This window comes from Homo sapiens, chromosome 6, assembly GCF_000001405.40.
Source record: "Homo sapiens chromosome 6, GRCh38.p14 Primary Assembly".
NCBI classification, from domain to species: Eukaryota; Metazoa; Chordata; class Mammalia; order Primates; family Hominidae; genus Homo; species Homo sapiens.
In genome coordinates this window covers 130,020,014-130,033,493 of record NC_000006.12, presented here as the reverse complement: position 1 = coordinate 130,033,493, position 13,480 = coordinate 130,020,014, and the positions used below count along the sequence as shown (strand labels likewise).

General features: G+C 40.8%; 1 protein-coding gene across 22 annotated transcripts in view, besides 4 other annotated features; it reads right to left on the bottom strand.

Moving 5' to 3' along the window:
* Positions 1 to 13,480, bottom strand: part of L3MBTL3 (L3MBTL histone methyl-lysine binding protein 3) — a 122,858-nt gene that overhangs the window by 107,945 nt on the left and 1,433 nt on the right. For 18 of the 22 annotated variants that reach the window (XM_047419407.1, XM_011536184.3, XM_047419410.1 and 15 more), the window contains exon 2: positions 11,189 to 11,267. The gene's annotated coding sequence lies outside the window, so the exon portion shown is untranslated. Of the gene's footprint in view, positions 1 to 11,188; positions 11,268 to 11,359; positions 12,768 to 12,825; positions 13,230 to 13,480 lie in introns of those variants that run through there. The other 4 variants (XM_047419409.1, XM_005267161.5, XM_047419403.1 and 1 more) reach the window with 4 other exon arrangements.
* Positions 5,178 to 5,227: an enhancer, noted in NCBI's record as "active region_25053". NCBI's record gives its function as "activates an Ori minimal core promoter by ATAC-STARR-seq in GM12878 lymphoblastoid cells {active_cell/tissue: GM12878}" and the evidence as "EXISTENCE:reporter gene assay evidence [ECO:0000049][PMID:35858748]".
* Positions 12,574 to 12,633: an enhancer, noted in NCBI's record as "active region_25052". NCBI's record gives its function as "activates an Ori minimal core promoter by ATAC-STARR-seq in GM12878 lymphoblastoid cells {active_cell/tissue: GM12878}" and the evidence as "EXISTENCE:reporter gene assay evidence [ECO:0000049][PMID:35858748]".
* Positions 12,994 to 13,063: a silencer, noted in NCBI's record as "silent region_17537". NCBI's record gives its function as "represses an Ori minimal core promoter by ATAC-STARR-seq in GM12878 lymphoblastoid cells {active_cell/tissue: GM12878}" and the evidence as "EXISTENCE:reporter gene assay evidence [ECO:0000049][PMID:35858748]".
* Positions 13,114 to 13,353: a silencer, noted in NCBI's record as "silent region_17536". NCBI's record gives its function as "represses an Ori minimal core promoter by ATAC-STARR-seq in GM12878 lymphoblastoid cells {active_cell/tissue: GM12878}" and the evidence as "EXISTENCE:reporter gene assay evidence [ECO:0000049][PMID:35858748]".

Genomic DNA, 13,480 nt, shown 5'->3' with positions numbered 1-13,480 from the left:
TGCAGAAGATGAAGACAGCAATGAGAAAAGCCAACCTCCACTGTAGAATCCAACAGCTTGTTGCTATGATGCCTACTATATGACACCATCAACTCAGGATGATTTTTTGTTTACTTTACAGAAATCATCTTCACTCACTAACCGTTAACTGTCAAACTTGGTGCAGAATGACATACTCAAAACTCCTAAACGTCATTTTTCAGTAACATCATCTCCAAGGAGTCTCCCCACTGCTAATCACCTTATGAATGTGGCATATAAAACTGCTTTGAGCCTCCCCACCCGACTCACCCAGCTCCCGTCATCCTTTCATAGGCGCAAACCAAATGCTTCCTTGATTATCCTCAAGATTTGCCCTACTCTTACAGTTCCTCTTTCCATCCCTTACCCTTCCCTCAACTACTTCCTTCTTTTCCTCCTCTTCGTATCACTTTCCAAGGTTTGACAATTACCCACTCCATGACTTCCGACAAATCAGTCTCTCATTTTTTGCATGTTTTTGAGACAGGGTCTTGCTCTGTTGCCCATGCTGGAGTGCAGTGGTGCAATCATGGATCACGGCAGCCTCAACCTCCTGGGCTCAAGCGGTCCTACCACCTTAGCCTGCCAAGGAGCCAGCACTACAGGTGCACACCACCACAGCTGGCTAATGTTTTAAATTTTTTGTAGAGATGGGGGTCTCACTATGTTGCCCAGGGTGGTCTCAAACTGCAGGCCTCACGTGATTCTTCCACCTTGGCCTCCCGAAGTGCAGGGATTACAGGTGTGAGCCACCACGCCCAGCCTGATCTCTTGAAGTCTCAATTTCCCCATGTGTAAAATGCAAAGAATAACAGAACCTTTTTTCAAAATTCATTGAGTAATGGTGAAGACAGATGAGATAGGCCAGATAATACCACAGCATAGTACTTACCAGATAGTAAACCAGTCAATAAAATGTTAGCTTCTTGTTATAATTATCTGGTTTAACAATTATTCAAATTCATGAAAGTCACTCAGTGACCTTAAAAAAAAAATTAGGCAGTGACTTGCTTATTTATTCATAGAGACAGGATCTCACTCTGTTTTCCAGGCTGGGGTACAACAACACAAACATAGCTCACTACAGCCTCAACCACCTGGGCTCAAACACTCCTCCCGCCTCAGCCTCTAGAGCAGCTGGGACTACAGACACACAACAGCAGACGCTACTCTAGGTTTTTTAAAAAATTCATTTTATTTGAATAACATCTATGGTAGTAAGCCATCTGTGCTCAAACCTTTGTCACAAGGTGTGAAGATCACTACCTAAAAAGCAGATATGATCAGGTGTGGTGGTTCACACCTGCACTTTCGGAGGATCACCTGAGGCCAGGAGTTCAAGACCAGCCTGGGCAACATAGTGAGACCCCACACCTACAAGAAAATGCAAAAATCAGCCAGGCATGGTGTTGCACACCTGTGGTCTCAGCTACTCGGGAGGCGGAGCAGGTGGGATCGCTTTGAGCCCAGGAGTTTCAGGCTTCAGTGAGCTATGATCACATCACTGTACTCCAGCCTAGGCAACACAGTGAAGCTCTATCTCAAAAAAAAGAAAAGTAGATATGTTATTTTTATTTTAATAGTAATTTTTACTATTAGTAAAAATTAGTATTACTATTACTATAATAGTAATATTTATTTTTATAGTAATAATTCCTCATATTTACATGGCACCAGAAAAGACTGCCAATTTCTTTATAAAGCAACACATCTGAAGTAACAGTGAAGGCTTAGTCACATGGGGAAGGTACTGGACCTGAAGCTCAGGCCCTCTTTCCAGAGGATACCCTGTCCTTGGAGGAGCCTAATGAATGGTCACGATGCTGGTCTGATTGCACTTAAACAAGACTAAAGGCTAGGGCAACATTCCACAAAGTCTGCTCCCCAAAACACAACTTTTACGAGACCATTTATTCATGTCCCCTGATAAAGGGGTTTGTGAAAAGAGATGTCTAATACCCTAGCGTCTTTGGGAGACGTCCAGGGCACATCGATGTGCAACCATCTGTGGAGTGCTGTCCCAGCCAAAGTTTCCCAGAGTCACTTAGCCTTGGCACTATTATCACATCACATCAAGTTCCATGGAATCCCTCATTTGGAAGGCACTGAGCTATACAAAATAAATTCAGAAAATAACATGAAAGTAAGGTAGTGTTTTAGAGGATAGAGTTTATTCATCTTCAAGTTGGATTCAACTACAAGGATGCTACCTTCTAATCTAGCTCCCAGTCTGAACCTGCTTGTTGGTATAGTGTCTAATACCAGGGAAGGTCCTCAGGACTTATAAGTCCTTTAAGTCCAGACTTGAGAAAGTGATTCTGAGAAAGGTATGGCCCCTGTCTCCTAAGACCTCCCTACAGCTCTCAGATTTAGTTTGTGATGACCTTCTTTTACCTCCATGGTACCAGAGAAATACGCAGCCACTAATGGAAGGACTCATGTATCCACAAATACAAGGTCACATGGGGTAATCATACAAAGCCCATAAGCCTAACAAACATGAAAGGGAAACAAACATGGTGGGGCACAATAATTTCTTCAATGCTTTGTCATTTTAAAGGATATTATCAATATCAGCCTATTTGACCCTCAAACTACTTTTTTAAGACTGATAAACATTATCATCCTCATTTCACAGATGAGAAAATTGAGGTCACCCAGCTAAGAAACAGATTTTACCTTCCAAGACAGTTGCCAACACATTGTATTTTAGTCAACCTAGAAGACAACTTAATGTAACAGCAAAGGCTTTGGAGCCCCAGTGCCTGGGTTTAAATCTTTTTTTTTTTTTTTTTTTTTTTTTTTTTAGGTAGAGTCTTGCTGTGTCACCCAGGCTAGAATGCAGGGGCAAGATTTCGGCTCACTGCAAGCTCCGCCTCCCAGGTTCACGCCATTCTCCCGCCTCAACCTCCCGAGTAGCTGGGACTACAGGCACCCGCCACCATGCCCGGCTAATTTTTTTTGTATTTTGTTCAGTAGAGACGGGGTTTCACTGTGTTAGCCAGGATGGTCTCGATCTCCTGACCTCATGATCTGCCCACCTCAGCCTCCCAAAGTACTGGGATTACAGGCGTGAGCCACCGCACCCGGCCGGGTTTAAATCTTAGCTTCACAATTTACTAGCTGTATAATCTTAGCCAGGGTACCTAACCTTTCTTGAGCTTTAGCTCCTTCAACTGTAAAATGGGTTAGGTATATCCTCTCCATAGGGGTGTAAAAACTTTTTTTAAAAAAAATTATGTACACTAGAGTGCTTTGCACACAGTGAATGCTTGGTATGTAAAAGTTACAGTTATTCTAAAGAAAAGACAAGCGGCCGGGAGAGGTGGCTCACTTCTGTAATCCTAGCACTTTGGGAGACCGAGGCAGGTGAATCAAAAATGGTCAGGAGTTCAAGACCAGCCTGGTCAACATGGTGAAACCCTATCTCTACTGAAAATACAAAAATTAGCTGGGTGTGGTGGTGACTGAAAATACAAAAATTAGTTGGGCGTGGTGGTGCATGCCTCTAGTCCCAGCTACTCCAGATGCTGAAGCACGAGAATCGCTTGAACCCAGGAGGCAGAAGTTGCAGTGAACCAAGATTGTACCACCCACTGCACTCCAGCCTGGGTGACAGACTGAGACTCTGTCTCAAAAAGAGGAGGGCAGGGCAGGGGAGGGGAGGGGCTCTCCAGGGTCCACATGCCCTCCAAGAACCAGTTTATCAGATCTCTGAAGTCTCACAGGGCAGAGGAATGAAAACTGTGCGAAGGCCAATACCTTTACATCAAAAAAGGCCTATTTAATTTCTCAGGAGTCCAGAGATGAGGACAGGAAAGGTGGGCAGCAGGGCAGTCAAGAACAATGGTATGACTCAGATTTCATGGACAAGTAGACTTCAAAGTGAATTTGGGAGACCGATGTAAGGTCAATAGCTGTTAGTTTTGCCAAGTTCTTATAAAGAAAAAAAATTTAACTGCCAACAAAATAAAAAGGACGTAATTTCTGAGAAACTACTCAGGACTAGGCCATTCGCAACCTTACTGTGACGTTTTTGCTGAGGAGGCATAAAAACGTCCTCATGTACCAAATGTGGTTCCAGGACCTGCTTTCAAGAGAGCTGGTACACAGGCAAACAGAAAGTGCTGTGAGAGATTAAAGCAAGAGGCCAGTATGAAAAAGAGAGATGAAAGCTCTGCGTCATCATCCCCAAAGGGGCTACAGTGGGAGTGTTTCTCTATAGGAGCACTGGAGTATGTACGTGCAAGTAAGATGCCAGGACCAGGACATAAGTGGGGCTGGGAGGACAGAATCTATACACTGATTATAATGCTTATGACACTGTATCTTGATCATCTACTTATAGGAGGTTTTGAAGCACAGAGACCTTGATTTACCCATTTTGTTATCTCTTATGAATATCTATAGTAGGTATTGATAAAACTTACCAAATGAATCAATAAAAGAGAAGAGGAAAATACAATACACTACTGGAGGGGAATGGAAGGGGCTTGGGGAGAGGAAAAATCAGGGAAAGACCTTCATCTGTCCATCTAGCTCATATTCTCCAGTGAAAATTCTAACAACTAGGCTGCTAAGTATTTGTTTACCTCTTTGGCAGAAGCATAACATCACCACTCCAAGAAACTCTCCTTATATAAGTGTCAGTGGAGAACACATCAAAAGAAGTTAAATTCAAACCTCTTAAACAGACTTATTCAATAAGGATAAGAGAAAATCTAAACTCACACTTGAAGCATCTCTCAACAAACACACATTGCTATGAAGAAAAATATTCCTTTCAAATCAAGCATGACAGAGACCACCTTTGATATGCTACTCATCCTGCCTGATAAGTACTCTGAATCACACATATATTGGAATTAAGGTCTGTTGTGGAGAGATGTGAAATCTGTCCTAAGGACCTAAGTTCATAGATTTTAGGCAGGAAAAACTCTAGATCATTATTTCAATGTGAGAACTGAAATCTTAGCAGCATCAAGAACAAATCCTTGAGAAGTTGGGTCTTCTGTTCTCATCCATCCCTGCAGAGGAGACACCTGAGTGTGAACTAATCCATGCTGCCTTTAAACATGAAATCAGTCATTACAGCGGTTCCATCTTATTGATATTTTCTCAAAAACACTGTCCCTTTATCAGCTAGTCATATTTTAATGTGAATGATCCTATTTATAATGTTGCAATGGTCTCTCTGATTTGCTACCTTGTCTGCCATGGAGATCATGTGCAAAGAAAGGGTAGTCACCAAAGGTAACCTTTACAAAATCTCAACTTCCTGCCCTTCTGTGTTACTGTAAGAAGGATGAATTATTTGAGATTCTGTGGCCTAACCTACTTACTTCCTCTAAAGAAGGAACAGAAAATGAAAAATGCCTTTCAAGAAAAAAAAAAAAAAAGGTACACAGAAAGTGAAATCACAAACTGACATTAATGGGCCTATGGCATATTTAATAGACTCTCATTAAATGCTTTTATTTTAAATTCATGTTCAACGTGCAGACTATACCTCAATTTGAGTCAGACATATTTTTTAAAGTGCTAGCATATCATCAACATACTATACTAGAAGGGTAATAATAGAAATTTTACACCCATTAGAGGGATTCAAGGGCCATAAAAAGAACAAGAACCTGACACAGATATTTCTATGCATATGCTAAATATGCATGAACTAAAATTTTAAAAGAAAAACTAAAAGTACTCTCTTGTTCTTTTTTATTTTACTTCATAATTTTTAATGCTAAAAGTAGTATCTTTTTTCTTATTTTGCTTCATATTTTTATAGAACATAAAGCTAAGATTTACACTTGATTTCTCTTTTGCATGTAATGAATTAGATTTGGCTAGATTTTTCTTTCACAGAAGTCTACAGGCTTATCTTGATAACCATTTGTAGCCAACCTCCTTATCAATAGACTGAACAGCTAAGCCTCAAGTCCACCCAATTAGACCACAAACCAATACGGTGAATTACTAAGATCATTTAACAACCAGACCAGATTGACCACCTAGGAATTTCAATTCACTATTCAGGGTTCAACAGTGTAATGGATGGAGAAAAATAATCAACTGATTTTGGTACCTAAGCAATCATACCCAAAATGTTCTAGTAACTAAATTAGCTTAATTCCACAAAATTTATGTAATATAAAGCTATGGTCCAGCCTTTAAAAGGTCTGGTACATAGTATACGCTCAAAAAATGTTTTAAATAGAACTTCAACAAAGGAGAAACAGCCCATTACCTTGTAATCAATGCCTACAATGGCATCCTTCTAAGTCAAACTGAAGAACTGCCTGATCCACCGTAACTCATATAACAGAGAGATATAATTCCCATTGCAATACAAAACCACCCGATGAGTCAAAATAGACTCTTCACCTCATTTTGCAAACATGGGACATACTCTTTTGGTTACAGTGTATAACACCAGTAATTATAGCACTCTTGCTCAGGATCTTAGTCATATTCCCTGTTTTCATCTTTTACTTTGATTCTAGGACACATTTCTACCACACCACCCCTCCATTTTCTCCCCACCATTGTCTCTCTTAATTTTCTTCTTTCCTTTTACAATCCTGGCTTTAGAGTAAATTTCATAACCTACTGAGCCTGCCTTGGTAGATGCAGGTCCCATTCTTTCATTGATTGATGCTTTATATATATATTTTTCATAACTAGTCCTACTACCTTATTGGGTCTCTTCCTATAGAGAACAAATGAAATCTTTATATAAGTAAGCCCAGTGATTCCCAAGCCTATTCTGAGTAATGTTTTATCAACAGTTTGTGATCATTTCAAGGCCATGGGCTAGACCAAGGTGTTCTTTTCAGAATAATTCAATAATTGGTCTTTTCTCAATTCTTGGTTTTAAAAAGAAAAAAAAAAGAAGAAAGTAAAGCCAGTTTTTCTTCCCATCTATTTTTCTTATACCTGTTCATTATTGCTCATCTTAGTAAACCAATGTAAAAGAGCACATACCTTAATCTGGAAATGTGTTGTTTTTAAAATATTCTATGTGTTACTATTTTGAAAATCAAAAACCTAAAGACACATCAATCATATGCCAGTATCATTTTCCCTGATTCCACCCCTTTCAAACTGCATGATATGAACAAGTTACTAAGTAACTCTGAGCACCAGTTTGCTCTAAAAGACAAAAAATAATACCCAGTGCTCAAGGTTAGTGAAAGTATGAGAGGTAATAGTCAGTGCCTAGAACAGTACCTGGGCATACAGAAAGCACTCAAAGTATTTTTTGGATGAATAAATAAATATAAAGCATCTAGCTTAATGCTTGATCTTCAGAAGGCACTCGATATACAATTGCACTTAACATTGTATATCAACACTTCATAGGGTTTTTAAAAGAGCAACCCCATCTGCCGGGTCCTATCACAGGAACACATTTACCACCACATCCAGAGATGCCATCACAGTGTCTACAGCATTTATCTACCATTCACCCACACTTAACCATGGCTTTGTTTTGTTAATTGCCATCGTATGTGTATGGGTTATCTCCCCAACTAGATTAGGAATATACTGAGCCCAAGGATTGATGCTCGATGTCTTTGTAGCCCCAACACATACATTCATTCAACCCTGCTGTAATTGTTGATTTTGTGAAGCAGTTCACAACAGTAATTTAGACAAAATAGAGGTTCAATAAGTATCTGTTGGTGGAACACAAAACAATGATTTACAGTATATATGGGAGAAAGAATAATAATGCAGAAGGCATTTTACTGTTACATATAATATACATATCATTCTTATAATCACCATCCAACTAATCAATTCCAAGTCTACTCAGAAAGAAACTACAGTTTATGAGGAAAGTTCCCTCATCCAAGATCACCCAACTTAACTTTACTCAAGTTCCTCTCAAAGATCCTTGTTCATTCCTCCAAACTATCTTGTCTCCCAAATGGGAATTTTCTAAAGGTCTTTCCCAATTTTACTTCATAAATCAAGCTTAGTTATATATCAAGGATACCCTTTCTTGGTGCTTCTTTTCATCCACCCACTGCATAGCTGCCACAGTCAATACAAATCCGTTCATCATTTCCCACTATTGACTTACATCCACAACCACCAATGAAATAATTTAATACAGTAAAGAGATAATCTGAGAATATTCCTGTTAGATAATGAAGCCCTTTAGAAAATATATCTTCCATGGATCCGCTGAACTTCAAGATGTCACATATAAATGTGCACCCATATGAACATATAAATAGTTCTCTCTAAAGACACTATCTTTACCTATACTATAAGCATTCCCAAATCCTTGTGAGGAACAAATCCCTCAATAGTGGCAAGTGGTAACAGTGGAAGATAGTGTAGATCTTCACCAGAAAGTTACCTTGTGAACACACTGGTCAAAGAAAGAATCGCCTCAATCCATCTTGCTAGACTCTTGCTAGACATTCCTTGACTGTGGGTGAAGGGCTTCTTACTCATTTCTGAAGGCGAAGCACTAAAAAAGGAATGCATTATATTGTGCCATGTGTATTGGATGATATGCCATGGTCCTGCATCAGTTAGCCCAGAAATCCATGTTTCCTGGTTCAACAGCTCCAAAGAGTGCTAGAGCCCTCATCCTTTCCTAATGGTACCATGTGCAACTGTTATACTATTATTAGAAGAGCTCATTATGTCTAGTCCCAGAGTAAGGATCTCTAGAACTCCTCAAGAGCAAGGATCTCGTCTTTTAAGTGTTCAACACCATAAGAGCTCAGAAAAAAACTGGTTAAGTAACTAGTAGAAACAATACCGCAGGGATCACTCAAGTTATCCATCCTTGGGATGCCAACGGTACATCCCACCCACCACATAAAGTAAGTTCTCTCATAAATTCCCCATCCTAACTGCACTACTATAAACAGCATTGGCTGAAATATGGAATTCTTAAAAATAAACTACCAACCCAGTCAAAATTCTTTAAGAATCAACTCTCAATTACTCAGGGACTAATTAAACAGGACATATACTTCTTTTTTCCACTCCTATTGGGTTTTTGGATTCTTAGAACATTGATTGGATAATCTCCAAAGAGTGGAGATGAAGTAAAACTAAAACCTGTCAGGGTTTATTTTGTCAGGTTCAGTAGCATCAAATCAAAAATAATAATAGATAGTACTTACAATTTTTTTAATCTAGATTTTACATAGTTGGCTATAATTAGATTGCAGCCAAAGAGGTCTAGAAAACAAGGAGGAAAAGCCCTACTTGGACATTTCCTAAATTCAGTCATTCGGAGGACTCATGTTCTGGCCCCTATAGTTAGTTTAAATCATTACTACTCCAGTTACCTATTTTCTCATCCTCATCTCCCAGCAGACTCATGCAACTAAAATATTAATTACAGTACATTAATTCCCCTCACACCAACCCTTCTACTTTCATCACCCTACCATTTTCACAATTAGGCATCATTTTAAAGTATTTCTTTCATTTACTCCTTCTACTTATTAAATGACTAGTTTGGGATAAATAAATTTCCGGTTTTGTATTCCGCACCATGTTAGAGCATGGTCTCTTCCCTCAAAGAGCCAATAGTATACAAGGGAAACTACTTTTTTCTCAAGACAAGATATACTCCTAGAAATATTCCGAGAAGTCCATACAATACACACATCAGAAACCAATCTAAAAGTTTTAGCCAAGTGTTAAATCACTATATTCTGACTTAGACAATCTACCTCCAGCCCTTCATAAAGCTGGACGAAGGTAAAATGATATGACCACTATACATCTGAATAACTCTTTATGGTTCTCAAAATCTGATTTTATTTGATTCTTTTAACAAAAGATGCAAGGCAAGTATTGCTGTTCCCGCTCTGTAGATGAGGAAATGGAGGCTGAAGGAGGTAGAGTGACATATACAAGGTGATATATCTAGTTATTACATTTAGTCTTCTGATTCCTATTCTAGCATTCTATCCACAGACACAGTGACTCCGCAGACAAAGAAAAATAAGCAGTGTCTTCAACTCAGCACATTTAAACATGAAATTCACCATCTTAGGAAACTGATTTTACTCTTCTTGAACCCTAGTTGTCTGCAGGACCTTCCTATAGCTGTTCTTGCCCCATTGTCTCTGCTGCATATCCACATGGACCAGATCTACTTATTTTGCTAATTATACAATTCAAAATGATCCACAAGCAGCAAATGACAATAAACTCCTGTTAATCATTTTTATATCAATAATTAGTCATTTTGATTTCTAGATTACACCTGGCCCAATGAAGGTTGTTAGTTCTGCTCTAAAAAGGTAGGCTAATTTTGGTTTTCTTTTGTTTTTGCCAAACAAGATTTAGCGACCCCTTTATTACTCAAGACAGAGAGGGCAGGAAAACAGGCAGAAAAGGAGAGGGGAAGATTAAAGGAAGAAAAAAAAAGGTATAAACAGTAGAAAGCACTGGAGTAGCAAAAATGTACTGAAATGTTCTACCTTCAGAGATGGCTGTCCCCTCTGCCTGAGAATGACCTTTGCCCTAAAAGAAGGACCTGGAGTATTGGAAAGAAGCCAACACCCTCCAAAATTACTAAAGAGATCTTAGTAGACAACAGCTGTATTCCCTGTGGAAGTATGTTCAAAAGTTGACAAGTCTAAGCTAACACACTGAAACTCACTCATAACCCTGCAACATGGCACTTGGCACAAGTCAGCCCATCTTGGATTTAAGCCATAGAAGTTATGTGACAAATACCCCCAAAGCACCCAATGTAAATTTCATTCACAAAATTTTACCACTGGCCCCCCAAGACATTTAGAGTTCCAGAATCTTCCATATCACTGTATAACAATGTAACACTTATATTAATTTACAATCATTTTATTCCAGTTTTTCCACTTTTTCAACTCCAAAGAATAAAACATTTACTTTCAGTAGAAAACAGGTGCTAAAATGCTAATTAAGAATCTAGTAAGTAAGGCAATACAAAGATTATCCAGGACAATCTCCTAACTTCCTAATGTTTCATCCAAACTACAATTACATTTAGTGTCAATACATTCATGCATTCAAAGCAGCCCCACAAAATGATGTTTTTCTGCCAACCCAGTCTCATACTCTCCTTCCTGATCTCCAAATGCAGCTTTTTAACATTTGCAGGTATGTCAAGCAATTTATTTCAACAAGTGGGTCTTACCTTTCGGCGGTGATGAAACACAGAACTCTCTGGCGATCTTCACAATTGCTGTCCACTCTCAAGATTTCTCCTAAGGGTTCTAGCATTGGTTTAAAGAGAGGGAAGGTAAAATCAAAACACTGTCATCAAAAAGAAACCTTCAAATCCACCATCCCCAGTTAAGAAGCTTACATTCTGAATCACTTAGGCATAATTTTACACCATGCCACTCGGTAAATTAAAATAAAATAAGCTGGTTCTAGATGAGTTGAAATGGATTTTAATCATTCGTATCATTCCCATGTCCTAAATTCACCCAATAACGTCTCTCCTGTTGTATATGACAGGCAGGTGAAAGTTACAAGGATCATTTGAGTCAACTTTAATTTCCCTCACTGCTTTTATCTTTAAAATTAAAGATATTTTACAGAAAACACACTGGAAAAAGAATAGATATTACATAAAATTTTTGCCCATGTATTTAAGGACTTTAAATCACAAATTATACAAGTATTCAGAAATAATTTCGTACTCAGTGAAACAAAATTACAGTCTTAGAACCAAAAGGGACTACTTACTCGGACTATACATAACTATACAGCTAAGAAACTATATAAAATTGCCTTACACTTATCAGACAGTAAAATGAACAGCTCATATAAAAGACAAATCTCAACTAAAGGTCTTTTCCATTTCTTCAAAGTTTTAAACACATTTCAACTTAGCAGTTTTCTTAACATTCAAAATAAAGTCATCAGCTGAGACTCGTTAATTAAAAATTGATCAGAGGTACAGACACCGATAAATGCAAAAGCAAACAATTGTTTCCAATTCAGGGAGCGATCAATCTCAAATCTCTGAATAAAAGCAAAGTGTCTTTCCCATATAACTCATGTCGGATGGAAGTTACAGGGTCTGAGTCCTCAGAATTCATTGCTTCGATTTACTAAACTTTCAATTTCTGATCAGCATCCTTTCACACAACATCTGGCTGCTCGCTCAGGTCCTCTAATTACTTCCACGTCTGAACGGACTACGTAGCTACGAGTAAAGGCCAAACTTTGCTCTCGGCCTTCCGAACTTAAAAGACGCGTTCAACCACTAGAGGTCTCCCCTTGGCCAGTTTTGCACGTTCGCTATTTTGCTGCACTTGAAACTTTCCGGAGAAATGCTCTCTACTCGAGTCAGTGTTTTTCTAAAAACTTGCGCAAAAATCCACGCGACCGAGATAGCCAGCATAGAGCCTCTCGGACTCCCTAAACCAATAAAGACATCACAAACAACGCTCTAGGAAAACCAAAAGGAGAACTGGACGCACTCGCCCCGGCCGCGCCCCCCCACCCCAAATTCTTATTTCTCATCTCAGTTTCCCCTAACCTAACAATTAAAAATCTATTTTTGTTTCTGTGCACTCTGAATGATCTCGAATGCATTTTTCTGGCGGTGGCCCCGAGGTGGAGAAGCGGGCCAAGGGATGCGAGGCGTTGGGGGTGGGGGCGGTGAGGGGGAGGGCCGTGCTCACAGCGCCCGAGGAAGTTGCCTAAGGAAAGGGACTCCGTTTTTCGGGTCCCCTCAAAAAATCGGCGGGGAGGGGGAGGAAAAGGAAGCGGGGTGGTGGCAGCAGGGGGACTCAGAAGGGAAACCGAAGCAACGTTTACCTCCGTCTCCCGTGGAAGGGTGGGGTAGAGCCGCGGTCCCCGCGCCCTGGAAAGCGGCTAGTTACCCCCACCTCCCTCTGAGCGCGACGGACAGACCGACGCCCCCAGCCCTCCGCGGGGACCCGGGAGGAACACGCCCGCTTTTAAACTTTCTCTCACGGTCGCGCTGCGGGCTGTGCTTTGACCGGGACTGGGGGAGGGGGGAATCGCAGGGCCTTTTTTTCTTTAAAGGTAATTAAAGTTTTACCACCAGTCCAAAAGTTGCGCCCTCCCCCCGCCCGTGCCACCGTGCCCTCCTCCCCTTCCAGGGCTCTCAAGTTTTTCTCCCCGCCCGGCGGCCCCCACACTCCACCAGCTCGCGGGGCGCGCGGCGGATGCCTCGGCTCCTGCGCTTCCCGATCCCCACCCCCGCCGGCCTCTACTTCCCCCCGCCCCGCCGCCGCGGCGCGAGGACGGCCCGCGGGGCCCAGGACGCGAGTGTGCAAAGCCCATTATTCCGGAACCGCACACACACGCGGCGCGAGGCGGGCGGTGGCCCCGGCGCCGGCCCCGGCCCCGACCCCTCTTTTCCTCCCCAGAATAAGGCAGGCGTAAACAAGTTGCAGGAAAAGCAGCCCCGCGCCGCCCCCACCCTCCCCCCACAAGCCCGCCGCCC